The sequence below is a fragment of the Homo sapiens genome, chromosome 1 (genome assembly GCF_000001405.40).
Source record: "Homo sapiens chromosome 1, GRCh38.p14 Primary Assembly".
Taxonomy (NCBI): Eukaryota; Metazoa; Chordata; class Mammalia; order Primates; family Hominidae; genus Homo; species Homo sapiens.
Window position 1 is genome coordinate 232,427,122 of NC_000001.11, and position 18,857 is coordinate 232,445,978.

At 43.2% G+C, this 18,857-nt stretch overlaps 1 protein-coding gene across 11 annotated transcripts in view, besides 2 other annotated features; it reads right to left on the reverse strand.

The window, feature by feature from the left end:
• The window catches only part of SIPA1L2 (signal induced proliferation associated 1 like 2), a 232,532-nt gene that overhangs the window by 29,157 nt on the left and 184,518 nt on the right, over nucleotides 1-18,857 (reverse strand). For all 11 annotated transcript variants that reach the window (NM_001377488.1, XM_017001896.2, XM_047426142.1 and 8 more), the window contains 7 exons: nucleotides 18,408-18,665; nucleotides 16,481-16,564; nucleotides 14,647-14,747; nucleotides 14,170-14,273; nucleotides 11,987-12,375; nucleotides 5,126-5,350; nucleotides 1,290-1,443 (listed from right to left, as the gene is read on the reverse strand). In NM_001377488.1, the coding sequence (NP_001364417.1) occupies nucleotides 1,290-1,443; nucleotides 5,126-5,350; nucleotides 11,987-12,375; nucleotides 14,170-14,273; nucleotides 14,647-14,747; nucleotides 16,481-16,564; nucleotides 18,408-18,665 (1,315 nt within the window). The remainder of the gene's footprint in view (nucleotides 1-1,289; nucleotides 1,444-5,125; nucleotides 5,351-11,986; nucleotides 12,376-14,169; nucleotides 14,274-14,646; nucleotides 14,748-16,480; nucleotides 16,565-18,407; nucleotides 18,666-18,857) is intronic.
• Nucleotides 9,017-9,186: an enhancer, noted in NCBI's record as "experimental_6114 CRE fragment used in MPRA reporter constructs". NCBI's record gives its function as "activates a minimal promoter by MPRAs in K562 erythroleukemia cells, with activity observed for both the introgressed and non-introgressed 1:232571969 or rs12035376 variant alleles {active_cell/tissue: K562}" and the evidence as "EXISTENCE:reporter gene assay evidence [ECO:0000049][PMID:34662402]".
• Nucleotide 9,102: a transcriptional cis regulatory region, noted in NCBI's record as "Neanderthal adaptively introgressed variant 1:232571969 (GRCh37/hg19 assembly coordinates) or rs12035376 in the experimental_6114 CRE". NCBI's record gives its function as "modulates activity of the experimental_6114 enhancer by MPRAs in K562 erythroleukemia cells {active_cell/tissue: K562}" and the evidence as "EXISTENCE:reporter gene assay evidence [ECO:0000049][PMID:34662402]".

Below are 18,857 nucleotides of genomic sequence, written 5' to 3' on the forward strand. Positions count from 1 at the left end.
TTCAACCCTCCAAAAAGAAAAGCTATTTACACTCTTTGTACAACAGTCTGCCTTTGCACCCAAGCTTATACAGTATCATGTACATGACTTGATGTAAGTTTTTTAAAAAAGACTCATTATGATGGAGTTCTTATGGGATTCCCTCCTCACACACCACCAGCAGGTTCTTCAGAACTTGATTACAGGCATATCAGATTAAAGCAGCTTTGCAGTAGTGTCTAATTAGAGTGTTGTTCTAAAAACACAATTAGGTTAATTGCAGAATTGTTTTACTATAGGGAAGACAGAAGCACAAAGACCTGCAGTTTACCCTGATCATGGTCAGTATGGCAATACCTGATTTCCTTTTTCCTTTTCATATGAACAAGAGGGAGTGCTGGATTAGAAGTGAGAGACAAGGACTCAGTTGCTGACTCTGGCACCAAATATTTATGAAGAGCTCACATTTTACCATCTGGGGCCTCAGTTACTTGCTAAATGGGGTGATTGGGCTAAATCGCCTTTAAGTCCTTTTCAGTACTTTAAATTGTTTAGCAAAGTGGCTTAAGAGATTGCAATAATAATGAAACTGAAGCCAATAAGCAAGCTAACATTATCGAGTACTACATTGTGAATGACAAAGGTATGCCACTGAACTTGGGGTTGGTTTATGAGATTTAAGCATGACCTTCCCTATGATCTCTGCATATCTCTAAATGGCAGTGTGCAAGTTCCAACCCTGTTTAAAATGCCCAGCAGTGTGCTGTCTAACTCCAGTTCAGTTCTGGAACAGGATTACATTTAAGGAGAGACAGCTTGGAGCAGAGGCTAGAGCTCTGGAACAAAAGTCAGGTGGTGTGAATTTTAACAGCTACTGTTCACGATCACTAGTTATGTCCAGGAGCTGTACTAGGCTCTTCAGACATCACTTCTTATCTTCACTGTAACTTCACAATTCAGTTATTATGATCTCCTTTTTTCAGATGAGAGCATTGAGGTCAAGAGGCCAAGTCACTTGCATAAAGTCATGCAGCTACCCATTGCTGGAGCCAGGATTTGAGGCTAGGCCAGCCGGACTTTCAGCTCTATCTGAGGTTTTAAAAACAGCCTTCTTAACCTCTCCCAGGCTCCCTTCACATACTGATACAATCAAAATTGGCAACGGTCAACTATGTGCAGTGAGTTGTTGGTAGGGTCATGAGAGATGAAGCATGTGGGAGTACTCTGGAAACCTCTGAGTTTCTTTAGACTTTTTTTTTTTTTTTTTTTTTAGTGTTTCTGGTAACTTCAAAGCTCCCTAAGTCACTAACCTTTCTTCGCCCCTCCTCCACTAAGGGGCTGTCAGGAAGCATCAATTTCAGAAAATCTTCTTTAGACAGAACATGTTGAGTCTCTGCAACAGCATCTCCCACCACTGTCTGATGCTGAGTTGCTGTGGACATGACATCCATCTCACTATACATCCTGTTGAAAACAATCAGAATGGAAATTAAGCCTATTTGTAAAGTGCCTGTAGTGGTAAGAATTAAAACCTAGGAAGCAGTTTCAACAGCCACAAACGCATACAAACACTTCTTAGGTCTTAAGTCAGTTCACTTTTGCTGCGTTTGCTCCAAATTCCCATGCCATTTCACATTTGTGAAATGAGCTCAACTACAAAGTTAGATGTCTGAATAATTCAGACACAAATCAGATCCCCAAAGCCCAGGATGAAAAAATTACACAGCCAACTTTTAAAATACGGCTGTGTTTTCCCTTTCCTAATCTGTGTCAGAAAACACAGTTTCAATAATTCATCAGAGATGATCATATGTCTTTCGAAGCAACGCTTGTGTGCTCTCGCGGCTGGACAACCAGAGCCCCGATGGCACCCAGGCAACAGAGAGGAAGCCACCCGAGGGAGCCCGGGGTTTACGAGTCATCAATTCACACGTGTGCTAAGCATGTTTTATTATCAGCAATTTCACAAAGCTGTTTGGATAAAGCAGCCGTCTCCCTTAATTATCAGTATATAAAAATGTATTGACAGACAACAAAGGAGTGTCAAGCTGAATTACTGTTTTTAGCTCCTTTACAGGGACAAAACTGGGGAATCATTCTAAAAAGGTTTACTCTGAAAATACAGTCTGAGCAACCAAATATTCCTGAAGACACAGTAAACAGTCAGCGGCTGCACTGTCAGTGGAGGCAAACAGTCTTTGCCACACAACCTGAAACATAACACTCTAGGAATTCACAGCCCACAGCAACGAGCTGGAGAATGACCTGAATGTTATTGCTGTGTGCCTCTGAGATGACTCTTGATTTCAAAAGCCAGGCTATCTTATAACTGTATGACAGCTCACTGGGAAATTGCTAGAATAAGAAACATACACAAACATGCTCAAAATTAAGAAGGATTTCTCTAAAATCCTCTATGGCTTTATTCCTGAGGTAGGACAGGTTTCCCTGTACCTCTCAGTTCTTGAAGCACAAGCTACAGTTACAACATGAACAAATAGTGGCTGTAAAAAAAAAAAAAAAGAAGCATTTCATAACTTTTAAAACATTACTGAAGATTTAGTTGGTTTGTGGGATGGCATGACATAAAAATGGGAGCTACAAGAAGAAACCAAGACGCTGGAGGGCTTTTGCACAAAAGCCACATAAGGAAAACAAAACAATATAGTTTTTACGAAGACTGCATCCAAGAAGCGCCCAACATTCGATCCTGAGGTGAGTTAGGTGGTGCTCAAGAGCTCCAGGCCGTATGTGTTTTGGGAAAGATGCGGGGAAAAATCCCAGGTCCTACCAATAACTGCATGGATAAAAATATTACATCCATAATTACGATTACAATGTGCTGTTCTAGTTTCTATATACGTTTATAGAATATGTGTTAAAATATGTGTTTATAAAAAAACACTAGCTTTCTCTGCTAAACTAGTAATTTAAAGAAATTATCCAATGACGTGTCATAAATACGCTCTGAGGATTTACTCTGTGCCTGCCACCGTGAGTAGTGAAGTTAAGCAGGACAGGGGGCTTGCACAGGACCTCCAGTCCGGGGGTGTGTGCATGTGGTATGTATGTGGTATATGTTCTGCAGGCTGAGATGACCAATCAAGTGCGAAGACACTGTAGGAAGTACTGAGCTAGCGGGTGCAGAGAACAATCCCCTTTGGGAGGGTGCTGGCCAGGCTCAGAAACTCACAAAGGACATTTAGGCAGAGGGAACAGCATGAATGGGTGCACAGAAGCCTGAGACAGAACTGCTCATTCGCTGATATTATTTAAAAATGTAAGATGATATTATTAACAAAATTAACAGTAGGGCTTCCACAATATGATTTTGAGAAATAACTGGTCTATGTGAAACTTCTGGAGAGCACAACTGATTTCTTCTTCAGTGCACAATGAGACACTAAAAATATGATGTACTTGGCTGACTGTTTTCTAAGCATATCTTTCAGCAATCCGGTAAAACACTGTTTTGATAAAACTTCAAATCTAGTTAGTGCAGTCCTGTATGACTGCCTTGCCTTAGAAACACTCTGTGTTGCTGGGCAGAGCCTGGGGCACCTGCTCCATCTGCCAGGATGAGCCGGCACACTGACCAGGAGCCCTGGTCTCGAATCCCAGCACCGGCCTCTTGCGATAACCAGTTTGAGCTCAAATCCTCCCGATAAAATGCAGCTTAGGACAGAAGAACTTCTACAGCCTCTCCCCTCCCAGGTATACCCAAGAGCATGTGTGGGGACTGCCATTTGCCCTTCCATACCACAGGGGTCCCCAGGTGGGGAGCTCCAGCGGAGACACAATCTCAGTCTCCTCTAGTGTGCACACAACCTGCGACTCAAGAGACACAAACCCCTTTCTCACCTCATTCTGGACACTGCCTCGCTCTCACTGAGCATTAGTGCCATCAAACCAGTGCGTGGAAATGCATAAACCCTGGGCTTTTGCATTAAAACTGTCCGAATGGGCTCCTTTCACACTTCCCTGACTTTCCAAAAGAGTCCTTCGCCTAAACATAGTACTACGGCGACATATAAAATGCTTCTAAAAATATTTCACAGAACTTAAAAAAGGCTTGGAATGAATTCCCGTGAAGCACTCAGAAGACTCTTATTAGACAGAAATACCAATGTATCATTCTACCATTTTCATTTATAATAAAAAGGGCTAGTTATCACTATGAAATTCCTTCCTAAATAAGCCATTTGCAATGACTGACATGATTTTTTTAACAAAAGATTCCATGTTCAATTTAAGCACTAAAAGAATTTTTAATTTAGAAGGCAATATCATATGAGCTGTATTTAAGACACAGGATCATTTTTTTTAAGAGAAAAAAGTGATACTAGTTCACTGGCAAAGTGTAAAATCTGGAGGCTCTCTCTGAAGAGCCATCCCAGTGTGGGTGCAAGCCACGCTCAGCACCACACGCCTGATGACGCTATCGCAGGCAGGTACAGCAGAGCACACAGACCTGATCATTTAGCACGAGTATTCTGTTAAGCTTCTTTACGAAATAAGCAAATAGTTCCTTAGCCCCAGCCAGCCTTGCTCTGCATTCTTGAATGCAATTTATTTACCTGTCTCTTCACAGAGGCATCAGCATAGTTTTCACAAGTGTTGTAAGATGGGTTATCAGTATTTTTAAATCTTTTTCTTTTTCAAACAGATACAAAGCATCCTTTCCTACGTGCCCACCACGCCCCCCTCAACCTCAAACCTAACAACTAAAAGGAAAATTGGAAGTCATGCTAAAATTAAGAAAAATACTTTTTGTTTTAGGATGTCACTTACACGGCAACTTTAAGGAACACACAGGACTCTGTGGGAATTTGAACTGCCTTTGACCTGGTGTATTTATAGAGACGCTATACTCACACCATCAGCAGCATGTTACCATGACTTTTCTATTGCAGGCAGATTTGAATATAAAAGCAAAGAACACAGATTTCTTTTCCTTTTTTTATGTAAAAATCAAGAGAATAATTTTATAGGGAAATATAAACATCAACATTTAAAGAGTTTAAGAAAGATGTTTTTAGATTATTCTTTTTTAGAAAATACATTTCCTTTGGGAGGAAAATACATTTGCTTAGTCAATCCCTACAGTGAAAAATGCTGACCAGAGAAGAACAGCCAGCCACCTTACCCGGGACATTCAGTCACTTCAGGCTCCTCGGGCGGTGGGCTGCCCTCCGATTTCTTCCAGCCGATGACATATTTGTTCACTGCCCCTTGTCTGTGGTAGGGCTTGGACATGGACCCGGGAACCTGTTGTCCGCTGCTGTGAGACACGATGTAGACTTTGGATGAATCCAGAGACCCACTACTTTTTGAACAGTGAGCTGAAGGGCTTCCTGAATGGTGAGAACCACTGAGGAGAAAAACAGACAAAAGCTGCAATACAATCTGATTTCAGCAGTGCTGGCACACGGCCAAATTCAGAGCCACAAGGCTTTACTCAAGTCTTTCTCCGAGAGCAAAATCGGGCCCAGTGAGGCAGATGGAGCCTTCTTTCTACCATGGAGCTTGCTAGGAAGCCTCATTTTACGTAGGCTAAGGTTACTCACGTGCAAGTTGTATGCCTGTGGCAGGAAGGATGTTAAAAACATGGCCGGGGAAATCTGATAGAAAAATGGGCAACATTCCTAAACTGATTCTTCAAAAGAGAACAAACTCAAATGGTGAATATATTTGTCGGAGAAGGTGCTCAAACTCAGTTGTCTCCAGGGAAATGCCAATGCAAACCACAATGGAATAGCATTACATACTCACCAGACAGGCAAAAATGGGAATGCCTGACAATACCCAGTGACCCAGTGTTAGTAAGAACTGGGGCAATAGGTACCTTCCTACTGCTGGTGGGAGTAAAAAGTGCATGAAACAGTTTGAGCATTACCTATGAAGGTGTGTGCACCTGCAGAGCTTACGATACAGCAATCCCACTCCAAGGGCGCACACACACAGCAAACCCCTGCTGCACGTGCAACTGTCAACATGGAACAATGTTGATTAGAAGCACTGATTTTAAGAACTCCCCAATGGCAGCAACCCAAATCATCAATAGTAGAAGGATATTCGATTAATAACTATGAATGAATACACGGAATACTCTACGAATGAATGGACTGAGGCTACAGACGACTTGGGCGATCTCATGAACAATGTAGAGAAGAAGCAAGTCACAAAGAATACAATGATCATGAGCCAGTTGCTTAATAAAGTTCATAAACAGGTAAAAGTAAACAACATGTCATTCAGGAAAATGTAAAGAAAATGAGGGGATGATTATCACAAAAGCCAGGTTAGTGGCTACCTCAAGGGAGAAGAGAAGGGGTTGTAATTGGGTAGGATGCAGAGAGCTTCCAGACACAGCAATGTTCTAGTCCTTAACCTGGTGGTAGTTACAGGGGTGTTTGCTGCATTATCATATGATACAACAGCAACAATACTGAAACAGACAGAGGCCCTAAAAACAATAAAAATTTTCAAGGTTAGTAATTAAGCTAAGGCCAGAAGGACTACCCACCCCCGGCTGACTGAGAAATTAAGTGGACAGTTAACCACCACCAGAAATATCTTTTTCTTAAATTAGAAAGATCAACAATATGTTTTATGAAAAACAAAAGTTACTTTATAAATATGAAAAATTTTAAGAGTTTAAATTATAGGTCTAATCTCAGCGTTCAGAAAGGCAGGTGGGCTTCACTTTCAGCAAACTTGACACGTGAGTGCAATGCGAGGATTCCGGGTCTCAACATCAGCTCTGTCCATTACCACTGCCAGACCCTGGGCAAGTTTCTTAACCTCAGTTTTCTCATCTGTAAATTGAGGATAATAACAGTATCTACCTCCGAAGGTTTCTCTGAAGATAATCTGAGTTAATATTAGTGAAGCACTTAGAACAGTGAGTAGCATAGGGTAAGCATTATATAAACGTAGTTACAGAAAGTGACCCAGCAAAGGATTATTCACGAGTAGGAGTCCTTTCTATTGAAAGAGTTTAACACAGGGTTCCCGCGGTAGCAAGCTCCTCCAGTATGCTGTAAATATAATCTTATTCTGAAACCCCAGGTGAGCACAGACCTTTTCTGATACATGTATAAAGCAAGTCTCATAAAAGACGAATAAAGTATAAAAATAAGAGTGATATTAAAATGAACTTTTTGTAGAGGTTCAAGAGGAAATAAAGACACAAAATAAACGGACCCATTTTCAGGGTCTCTGCGTTTTGGAAAACACTGCGGTATTAAGTAAAATTAACCAACCAACAAACAAAGCGCCTCATCTACTCCTATGAAGAAACTTAGTTGCTGGTGGCTGGTCTGGTGCCCTTGAGTATGACTGATGGCTCCCTCTCTCTGGGTGCTAACTGTGGGTCTCGGGAAGACGCTGCACTGCCTCTACAATGACATCCACACACATGGAACACCAGGTCGGGAGAACAGTAAAGCAACATGACCAAGGTGACCTGAGGAGTAAGGCAAGCAATCAACAGGCATGAATAATAGGAGCTAATGGACTCTTCCCATTCACTGGGGTGCACGCCAGTTAGGGAGCCCTAACATGAAAACTGTGTGTCTAGACAACGAGCTCTGACGCCCTGTATGTTATTTTCCCAAGTGTATTTTGAAAAATTTCAGAGCTACAGAAAAGGGAAAGGATAGTAGCATAAACATCCACATACCCTTTTTCAAGATCCACTAATTCCTCTCTGAACCATCTGATAATTAGCTGCAAGCCTAAAGACATCATCATACTCCTATATTTCAGCATTCATTTCCCAAGAATAAGGACATCCCCCCAGTAGTTAACCAAGTGATGATCATGTACAGGACATCAGGCATTAATGCAATACTGTTATCTAACAGTCCACATGCTAGTTTCCCCATTGTCCCAATAAGGCTTATGGCCTTAGTTTCCCCATCAAGAACCTGATGAAGGACTGTGCACTGCCTTCCACTACCCGTGTGTCTCATGTATTTTAAAGCCTTGGATGATCCCCGAGATGTTTCGTTGTTAAAGGCTGGGGCACTCAAAGTCATGGTCTAGTTAATAAGCTGCATGTGTGTAGGTTACTCACCTTTCCCCCTTAAAATGACCAAAGCGTATAGTTTTGAAAATGTATAGGTAATGATAGCGTGATCACAAACTCTATGTATTTTTCCATTTGTTTTATAACATTTTCTAAAAATTAGATTTCATTAGAAATGTATTTTATCCCAACTGTAAGATGTTTTAAAGTTAACTTGAAGAACAAATGTACAGAATCCATTTGATGAGCAATGTGGCATAATTCCTTGTTTAGTAGCAGTCGTATCATTACAGAAGTGTTCTCTGATGCTGATAACATTCTAGAATGTTGTCCACAAACTTTTCATGAATTCTTTCCTTCTGGACTAATGCTCTTCTTTCGGAGTTATACTGCTGACGTCCAGTCATTTGTACCAGGAGAAAGGTACGGTGGCATGAATAATGATAAACAGCCCAACGTCGTGTGTGCCATTTACAGGAGAATCCAGAACATGGGGTTTGTTTTTGCAGTTGATTTATTTCATTTTGCAAAGCCTTAGTTAGGTTAGCATAAATACTGCTTGGTATTCTGAGCTCCTATCTAAATGCCCTGCCCTCGAAGAAAGAAAAAAAATGTGTTTGCTAAATTAAAAGAACTGAACAGCAGGAGAAAGCAGGCTAGATATATGCTTGTTCTGCTTAATAGATGATTCCTGTTCCCCTACCCTCTTCCTCACAAGAGTGTAACTTGTCTTGAAGAGTTGTAAGTCCTCCCTTTGCCTCCTTAGTACAATCTTGGAATCATGCCATATACACAATTCTGTACTTATTTAACTCCCGGGTGGCTGCCAAGGAATGTGCGTGTGTGTGCCTGGGGCTGGAGGAGGCTGCTATGGTGTCGGTTGTGAAAACCCAGAGTTAAAGAATTAAGAGTACACCATATACTGATTGGGGCTCCTGACACTGTGAACTGGGAATGGTGGATCCCACATTCCTCCTGCTTCCCTAGGTTACCCAGGCACTGGTTTATTAACTCCATCAATAAGCATTTATCAAGCACTTTTCCTAGTTCCTTTCTTTATTCAAAAAATATTCAGATGCCTGCCATGTGCACAGAAGCGTACTAAGTGTTGTGGATACAAGCGAACAAGATAGGCCACGACCCTATCAGCTCAAAACACGAATGCTCCAGTGAGGAGAAGGTGGCGATAAGTGGCCTTCTTGTGGGAAGGAATATGCAGTAAACACAAACAATTTTATTTAGGGGTGGGTGCTGTGAAGAAAATAACACACGGGTCAGGGGCACGGAGCACTTGGAGGCAGAAGTGTGGGTTTAGGCAGGATGGTCACCCCGGTCAGTTCCTGAAAGTTTATTCTGCTCTTCTGTTACCTGGGCTACTCCCAGTCACAACCCAAGCCCTCCAGCAGTAGGCCTCGGCTTGAGGGGACTGCAAGGCTGCCTGAACTGGGACAGGAGAGGAAAGCAGGGGGGCTAAGGGAGCCTTCCTCATGGCCACCCATGCCCCAGCTGGGGTTGGCATTTCAGAGTTTGCAGAATCTTTGTGTGGCTTGATAGGTTGGTCCCTCGTCCTCTAATGAGTCACCTGCCTTTCACTCAACACACAGAAAACAAGGCAAATGCTGTAAATCCCATCCCTCCTCCTCGCCTCCTGTGCAGCTCGGGGGGCACGCAAGAGGAAGTGTTAAAAAGATTTCATTCAATGACTGAATTCCATGCTGAGCAAAAGCCTAGGATGCAAGTTGAAATGTGGCTTCAAAAGCCACCATCAACGAAGAATTACAGGAAAAGGGCAGTCAAGTGGTAAAAGATTCCACTCACTCAACATCTATCACTTATACAACAGCTGGGCCACATCCAATTTAGAGTGGCGGAAGAAAGTAAAATCAATCAGAAATCCAATCTAGCACTGTCATATACTTTCTAATAGTCTAGCCCATTAAATTTGCCAATGGTTAAGGTAGTCATGAAAATCCATTACAAATACCGGTAAAAAGCCCTACCAAATATCAATAAACGAATGTACTCTGAAGGCAGTCTCCATAGAAATTTTACTTAATAATAATAATACAAAACTCTATTTGTGATGCCAATGACATCTGTCCAAAAAGGTGTCATGAAATCAGCTCTTTTACAAATCATCTCAACTTTGAACTAGATGTTAGCAGGTTGTGCAATCCCGAGATGGTCTCCACAGTATGACCACTATTCCTGAAATTAAGCCAGGAATAATTCAGATGACCAAATTCACTGATAATCCTTAATTATTATATTAGTTATTAGTACTAAACCTATTTTAAGTCAAATTATTAAATAGAACTGGTAAAAAAAGTAGTAGGAATGTCTATTTTGAAAATAATCTTCATATCCTAAGCTCCCTCTGCATGGTGGACACACATGATTTCTACTCTCTGGCATCCACTCCCCCTTCTCCAGGTCAAATAATGTCCTGCTTCTCTTCTGGGGCAGTGGCTGTATTTGCCATTCCTCAGCTGCACAGCTTGGTGACAGGGACTGACCCCCAGCCCAGGCTGAGGGCCCCAAGTGCCGTAGACGATGCTACCCCCTAACCACGTGATTAGAGCTAGGAACATGTGAGGAGATACGGGGGTGGTGTGGGGGCAGGGGTTGGCTTTGGAGAGGGCAGAAACCTGTTTCTTCTGCAGAAACTAGAAAAAAACCACTTTCTACCCGGGGACAGACGAGCGTGACTGTGGGAGGTCTGCAGGTGGCACAGCTGTTTTCAGCCAAGAGAAGAATGCTGAGATTTTGGGAAATGGTCATGTGGAGTGGGAAGATGGAGGCAACCTGGTCCTGGGCAGTATCATTTTGAGACGCTGGGTCAAGCAGAACCTTGAAGTGCTAGACTTGTTGTTTACATAAGCCCCAATATGACCCTGGTGGCATGAACCAATCAGCATGGAGTTTCTTTAACTTGTAATGTAAAGGTCCCTGAATGACACTCAGTATCCCCTGGCAGTGGTGGGGTGAGGGGGGACTTTGAAGGGGAGCCTGAGGAACATAAAAAGCCTTTCACCGTGACTGCTACAGGTCTGCCTTGAGCACCATCATTTGGAGAAATGCTCCCTCATAGCACTAGGTACCTGCAAGAAATATTCCCATTCTTAGTTCATCTGACTCTGCCCTCCAGCATTGTGGGCAGGAGTCAGAGAGTAACTTGGAGCTGAATCAGGGAAGGCCTTGGAAACAAGCAGAAAAATGACAGTGGTAGTTGCTATAAATAGTTAAATTCTGTCCACAGCCAAACTGAATAAATGCATTTCTTTGTCCTTTGCCTAGTCTTTGAAAGTGAAGGCAGAAATCGCAAATTAGGTATTTTAAAACCACTGCAGAGAAGTATGTCAAACAGGAGTTTAAAACCACTCATAAGGAGATATTAAACATCTACACTTACAGTACTTAGAATCCAGTTCCTTTACACTTAGCTAGTCTTTACTGAATGAACCCCAGCTGCAGAGCTGAACACACTTTCATTGTTATACACATGATCTCAGGCCTCCCCTGCTGTCAGGGCCGTAGGAACAGGGAGGAAGTGTGTGCATGCCCTCACGGCAGGGAGCTACATGTGCTCTACGCACATGCTGCCTTCATGGCTTCCTACTACTATGGTCTGAAGATTAGTGAGTGCCACCTCTTCTCCAAAACACGTAGGGACAACAGGTTGAATTAGGAGAGAGACATAAGTGGCCTGACTAGAGCGATTAATATCTCTATTGACTTTTCACTCAAACTTAATAGGAAAAAAAAAAAAACACCAACAAGGGACTTGTTAACATGCAAGCTTTGACATTTTCATATTGTAGAAACAAGCCCTTCCTCTGATGTCAGACAGCTAGGAAAAATTACACCAACCTACCTGATGCCCCTACTGCTTACAGTTCAGGCTTCTGCCCTATCCCAGCAGGCAGGGCCCAGGTGGCACCAGCAGGTACTACTCTGCAGTGCTGTGGGGCTTACCTGGAATGAGAGGATATCTCACTGAGATCGCCCATGCTGCCTTCCGCAGCACTGCCGGCGGAGATGGTGGACGCGTAGCCATGCACAGAATATAACTTGGCTGGCTCGTCGTCAGGCCCAGAGACGTCGGCAGCATCAGCCCACTGCTCGGCCCGGCTGTGGATCAGGGACCTGCTGCCTGCCAGGTGCACAGGGCCGAGGATGGTGGCAGGCATGCAGGGGGCCGTGTCGATGCCACTGTCGGTGGAGGCCCCTTTGATGTAGGTCAGCCCCAGTAATTCGGGGTCCATCAGGTCGCCAGACCCAAAGTGCTTGTCGTCACTGTTGCTGGAGGTGTTGCTGGAGAGCGTGTTGCTGCTGGAGTGACTGGAGCAACTTTTATCCCCAATCTTCAGAAGAAAGAGGAACAGAGAGTTCTCAAGTGAATCTTGAACTCAGGTGCTTCTCACCCTGACTCAGGGAGCTACAAGCCATGGGATCGCACCCAAGCCCTTTCTACTCACTCTTCAATGTGGGCAATGACAGGACTTCCTTTTTCAAAAACAACCTGGTTTTGTGCAGAAGTCTCTAATTCATACTTCTTCCCATAATTTATCTAAGTTAAATGGGTATCTTTAAGTCTTTAATTATTTGTGCATTAAGCACAAAACTATGGCCACAGTGTCACTAGCAAAGAAAATAATAAGCAAAGGTGATATAAACTGGGAAGGAACATGGGAAATTAATATAAGGAAGAGAAGGGCCACTTATTAAGAAAATGCTTCATGACAAATTATAGTGCCAGCCTTGAGTTCAGGGCAGAAGACTTAGGTTCCAGTCACAAAGGTAGGACTTTCTGGTTAATCACTTAACCCTCTCTGTGCTTGTAATACCGAGCTTACATGATTCCTGTGTGAAGCAAATGAGATAATATATGCAGAACCACTTGGCTGCTGCAAAGTACACGGTAAACACGAAGTATCTCTCTGAGACAGCCCCAGTCAAAGTGCGTCCCAAGCCTTTAAGAAATGGGAGTCTATTGAGAGTAAATAGGTCTGAAAAAGAGTCAATGCTTTTGGTTGGGGTGGGGAGTCTCTGGAAGACAAAAAGCAAATAGAATAGAAGAAATGTCCCTGTCTCTACAATGTACTCATACAGACACGGCCTCTCTTCACAGTCTGGGAAAAGCAACAAGATCTGAAGCATCAGCAAAGGGCTTTGGAATCATAAGAACGAGCCAGGCCCCAGTAGATTTTAAAGTGGTTTGGCCTTATCTTTTTTTATTCCAGCCTATCAGATCCTTAAGCAAATCACCTTGACCTTTTCATCATACACTGATATTCTCAAAACTACGCCCACACCATGTATCCCTTTGCTGAAACCAATATGAGAATATTGTAAAGGTGGATTTAAATAGATACGGTGAGGCTGACTCAAGACAAGGTCGCGGTCACAGCTGAGGGAAGAAATGTCACATGTGTTTGCTAAGGGACAACTGCAAAGCTGGCTGATGACACATTAAGAAAGAAGAAAGACATAACTTAATTCAGGACCTTATAAATTATCTTCACCTGAACATTTTCAAAAATAAGCCACTTTAAAATGTTGGCTTTATTTGTAATAACCAACAATTCCTGTTTCTGCATTTCAATGGAAGTTTTGTTTCACTGGGCTACAGTCTCCCTCGAGGCTCACCTCCCAGGGTTTCTTCAAGGGGTACACATGGCAACACATGCAAAGGACTGAGAACTACCACGTGGGCGGTGCTCTACCCTGACATGTGTAATGGGCAGCTGCGGCCGTGATGATTAAATCATCGATGACTGTACAGTAAATGGCTACCTATGGGCAGAGTTCCTCTGACCACACACACCGATTAGCAGTTTCTGCTTCTGTTTTGTGCCACTAAATGGATAAGTGGTTAACAGATTACAAATGGGAACATGATTTAGTAACTACTGCACTGGATATTGAGGATCAAAAGGCTGAGGATATAATTTTGGCTTTGCCACTAATTTGCTGTGCAACCTTTCTTTGAGGTCCTTTATAAATCAGGAAGATAGTTTCCTTTTTTAACCTCACCTCTAAGAGCCCTGTGAGGTAATGTGCTCTTGAGCATCCCCAGGAATCAGGCTGTACCACTGTGTGCTGAGACAGATCAGTCCTGGCTAGGCCAGTGAAGGGCTTATGAACAAAGGACTTACGTGAGAAAGCTTATTGGGGGAATCTTTGCAACTTCCATCTTTCTGCAGAGCTCTTTCTTTATAGGAACCCAGGACTTTGGAAGGTGGGCCATGCCATTTGGTTTCTGTCACATAAAAAGAGAGGAGTTGAATTTCCAATTTCCAGTATTACCAAAAGAGTAAAGAAAACCAGGAGTCAGACAAGTGGTTTGGTAAACATGAACAGGCTTGTGGTTCTGGGACTTTCTGGTCTTACCAATGGATATGTCACAAAAGTATACAGAACCACCACCATAAAGTGTTCACTTTCTGCAGGTGCCACAACCACAACCAACCATGACCACACCCCCTCCTGCATCTGGAGACCCAGCTGATCACCTCAACTTGGTGCACATAGGTTGAATGAGTGAATGAATAAAATGAAGTGATGGGAGAGGAGGGGGCAGAGAGGGGGAAAGGGGGAGCAAGGGAGGTCAATTTCCAGGAGTTCCTTATTACCCGGGTGCCTGCTTGCTTCCATGGTGTCTTCCCTCTCCCTGGCTCCGTCACATTCCAAAGGGCCTGAGCCCTGGTGTTCGAGCAGTAGAGGGGACTGGCACCTGAAAAGAACACAGAGTTGAGCCTGTCCTTTCTCAACCGTGCCACCTGCCAGCATGCACACGGGAGTGCTGGCTTCCAAGTAGGCTATGCGAGGGAAAGCCCTATCCAGGAGCTGGTTTTCTGGCAAATGAAAATGCAAATTGTCAGCTCAGCCCCGCCAGAGAAGCTAAAAGCATCTGAAATTGTGGGATCTGGTTTAACCAGAGGGTCAGAAAAAGCAGCCGGATGATAGCCATTTACAGATAAAGAAGGGCTGCTGACACCAGGAGGTTGAAGGACTGTCCAGGATCAAACAATGTACCTGCAAGCTACGGAGGAGGTCGCATTTTTACGTTACGCTTAGAATACATGGCACTGACATCTCTTTATATTAAATTTTTCTTAAGAAAAAAAAAAAGGGCCGGGCACGGTGGCTCCTGCCTGTAATCCCAGCACTTTGGGAGGTCAAGGCGAGCAGATCACTAGGTCAGGAGTTGGAGACCAGCCTGGCCAACATGGTGAAACCTCGTCTCTACTAAAAATACAAAAATTAGCCAGGCGTGGTGGCGAGCGCCTGTAATCCCAGCTACCCAGGAGGCTGAGGCAGGAGAACTGCTTGAACCCGGGAGGCAGAGGTTGCAGTGAGCCAAGATCATGCCATTGCACTCCAGCCTGGGCGACAGACCGAGACTCCATCTCAAAAGAAAAAAAAAAAAAAAGGAAAAAAAAGATTAACTCTAGACTACATCCAAGTAGACTTTGTTTTATGAAAACCCCAAATATGATAGAAATAAGTAGAAGAAAACTTATTGACATTACAAAGTGATCCTTATTTACAGAATTCTGGTTGAAGACCTTGGTTTACAGAAAAAGCCAGAAAAGGTTTTACTGTTTATACAAAAAAGAACACCAAAAAAGCCAACATCAAAAAATCCTCTCTTGGCTTAAAATGCAATTTAATTTAGAAAGTTGCTTGACATACAATTTTTAAGAACTCTGTCTATCATCTAAGGGAAGGAAAACATATAACTCAGACTACATATGGAGAGAAATTTCCCAGTGCACCTGCGGGAGCAGTGATATAAGCTGCTCCTCAGAGTGGAGTCCTTCCCACTGACCGGCCATTCTCTCCTCTCAATCAGTGTGACTAGCTCCTAACTCCAACCCAAAGCAGCACCAAGTCACAGTGGCCCCAGCAGACCACTCCTCAGGAGCGCACCCTGGTGCCATGCTCCCTCTTCTCTTCCCAGAGGTGGTGGGATTGGTCAACTCAGTGTCTTTGTTCACAGAAGTCCTCAGGCTCTGCCTGAGCTGCTGGCTACTGCGGACTGGACTGCGTGGATACTATAAAGGGCAGCTCTCAGCTAGGTGTGCTGGGGCAACCTCCCAGTACTTCTCAGACAGGAAGCAAAAAAGCCAAACGCTAAACCCACTTCTCTGATTTTGAGCGGCGTTTCCTCATCAGCAATTTAAGTCAGGAGGCAACTAAGCCCTCACATCCTTAATTTTCATGTTCTGAAAACCTTTCCTCATCAAAAAGGAAAAAACAGGCTGAGAACATCGACAAGTGAGCACTACTTACACAGAAATAATGAGCTTTCCAACCTGGACAAGTCACTTGTTAAAAGCATGTCTGGCATTATTATATTCCCCACATGGCCCCAGGTACAGAAGGCACACAGTAAATGCTTTTCAATGAGTCACAGAAAACAGGTTCCTCCCAGTGGATAACTAAGATAAAAATGAACAGTACCCGTCGTAGCCCACTTGTGGTCTCCAGGGTCCGCTCCCGCCGGGTCCAGGGTCGCTGGAGGATGACTGGTTGCTGGGTGAGCTTCTGAAAGGTTGAGTAGAATCATTAACAGGGCACTGAACTATCTGCCAAGCCCCTTGACCTGGCCTGTTTTGTTTCACAAATAAATATACTTTGAGAATGACAAAGAAAAGGAAGAAAAACATATTGCCATGTGAAACAGAATAAATCATGGAAAAATAAACTAAGTATCGGTGATGCCCAGGGATATCAGTGGTTTATGATTGGCAATTTGTCCTAGGAAAGAGGTATGACAGGACAGGCCCTCACTGTCTAAAGATTTAAAGCACAGATAATGACTCCCTCCCAGAGAAATACAGAAGAACAGCAATACAATTTCCGAGAATACAGAATTATGAAAACATTACTAATTCTTATTATGTGAAATTTAAAACAAGTCACGTTTTAGTTCTATACTTAAAACTTATGCAAAAAGAAAAACCTAAATTTGGCAAAACCATTTATTTTCACACATCTCTTGAATGTAATCCTATTTTATCTTTTTTTCAGACATGCAAAAATGAAAAATACTCATGAAAACTCACTTGATGAAGATGTGCTTGCCAAGTTTCCCTTTTGCTACTAGAATACTTCTGGTTTTCTCCTATAATTTACTTAAATTAGAATTACTTAAGTAAATTTTAATTTAATACAATTTACTTAAGTTATGATTATTTAAATTTACTTAAATAAGGGAGGTTCTGCAGATCCCCTTCCTTCTACATGTTGCCCCTTTTACCAGGGCTATCTATGTACATTTCTTTGAATATGGGAAAGTTATAAACTTAGCCGACTTTTGAGTTGGGAGACCCAGAGCCAAGATGATTGAATGTTAAATTAACACCTCTCCTGCATTCACTCTGGAAAGAATAAAAATTGGAGAAGGGAGAGGATGACCACAGGTTTTATCAATTAATTCTGGTTAATATTTATATAAGCTTATCAATTAATTCTGGTTAATATTTATATAAGCTGACTAAGTGCCAGGCCCAGTTCCAAGCATTTTACATACATTGACCCACTCAGTCCTCAAAATTTCCTGATGTGGTTTGTCAGATGAAGAAACTGGAGGTTCAGAGAGGATGAGTACCAGGCCTATGGTTACAGTACATCAAGTAAGTTAAGAGCTGTGATTCCAGCCTGGCTCCCAGTCCGTGGTCTATCAGACCAGAGCCTGACAAGTCATAATTGAGAAAACTCATGGCATTACCGTGCCTACATGTTACATAAAAGTTAGAATAAAAGGAGTACGAATTAACAACAATAAGAAATTTATTATTTTGTTTTGTTAAAATGATCTATGCAAATTAGGCATCTGAAAACCCTCACCAGCTTCCAATGGTACTGGATTTAACTTTTAAACAAGTGTATGCATTCTTCTTTGAAAAAATAATTTTAAACTCAACTCACTTTGCTTAAAAGGAGAAAAGCAAAGAGGAAGTCTTAATGAGCTTGGAACCTCTTAAAGTATTACTCACATTATGATGATATTTAAGCACTGATTGTTCAGTTTTATTTATGCTCAAACCTGTTCACACTTTTCTAGAGGCTCCAGCAGAATAGTTTCTGGGGTGCCTTTCCCATCTTGGGGAAGAGAGCCAGTGGACATGGAGGAAGGATACTGGATGAAGAGGAAAAGCTGTGACCCTGGTGGGCAGAACCTGCATTTTACCAGCACCATCTTGGGGCCAGGAGAGTGCCCGACCCCAGGCACCACTGTGTCTGGGGCCTGCCTTGCTACCCTGCTTGCCAACTTGCTGTGAACAAGCTAACTCAGAAGTGATTAAGCAAAACCCTCCCTACAATGTCAAGTTCTCACCCCAGTGATTTACAAGGGCCCCCCTTGAGGAAACGGAACCAGCATTACCTCGTGCCATCGGGCAGCTTCCGGTCGAAGGAGGTGCTTCGAGGAATGGCAGCCTGGGCCTGCTGGAGCAGCTGTTGGCACGGCAGCCGGTCGGGCGTGCCGGGGATGGGGGAAGCTCTAGAGAGGGGCTGCAGGGCAGGAGTGGGCACCCGGTGCCACGTGGTGTTCCTCCTGAAGGGGGTTTTATACTCGCAGGGGGTGCCCTCGCTGTCGAGTTTATATTCCACCATAGGGATCCGGCAGAGCTCTGAACACCCTCTGTTGGGCCAAGAAGAAATGGTGAGAAGGGAAGCTCTCAGCTGAGCTGTCAGCATGGCTTACTCACAGCTGGGCCCCTCAACACACATCACATGGTGTGTGCCTCTCCCGGCTCCAAGTCAATGATGCAGAGCGATCCACCCTTAGGAGCATCTCACCTATAATAAAACCACATTCCCACACTATTCAATT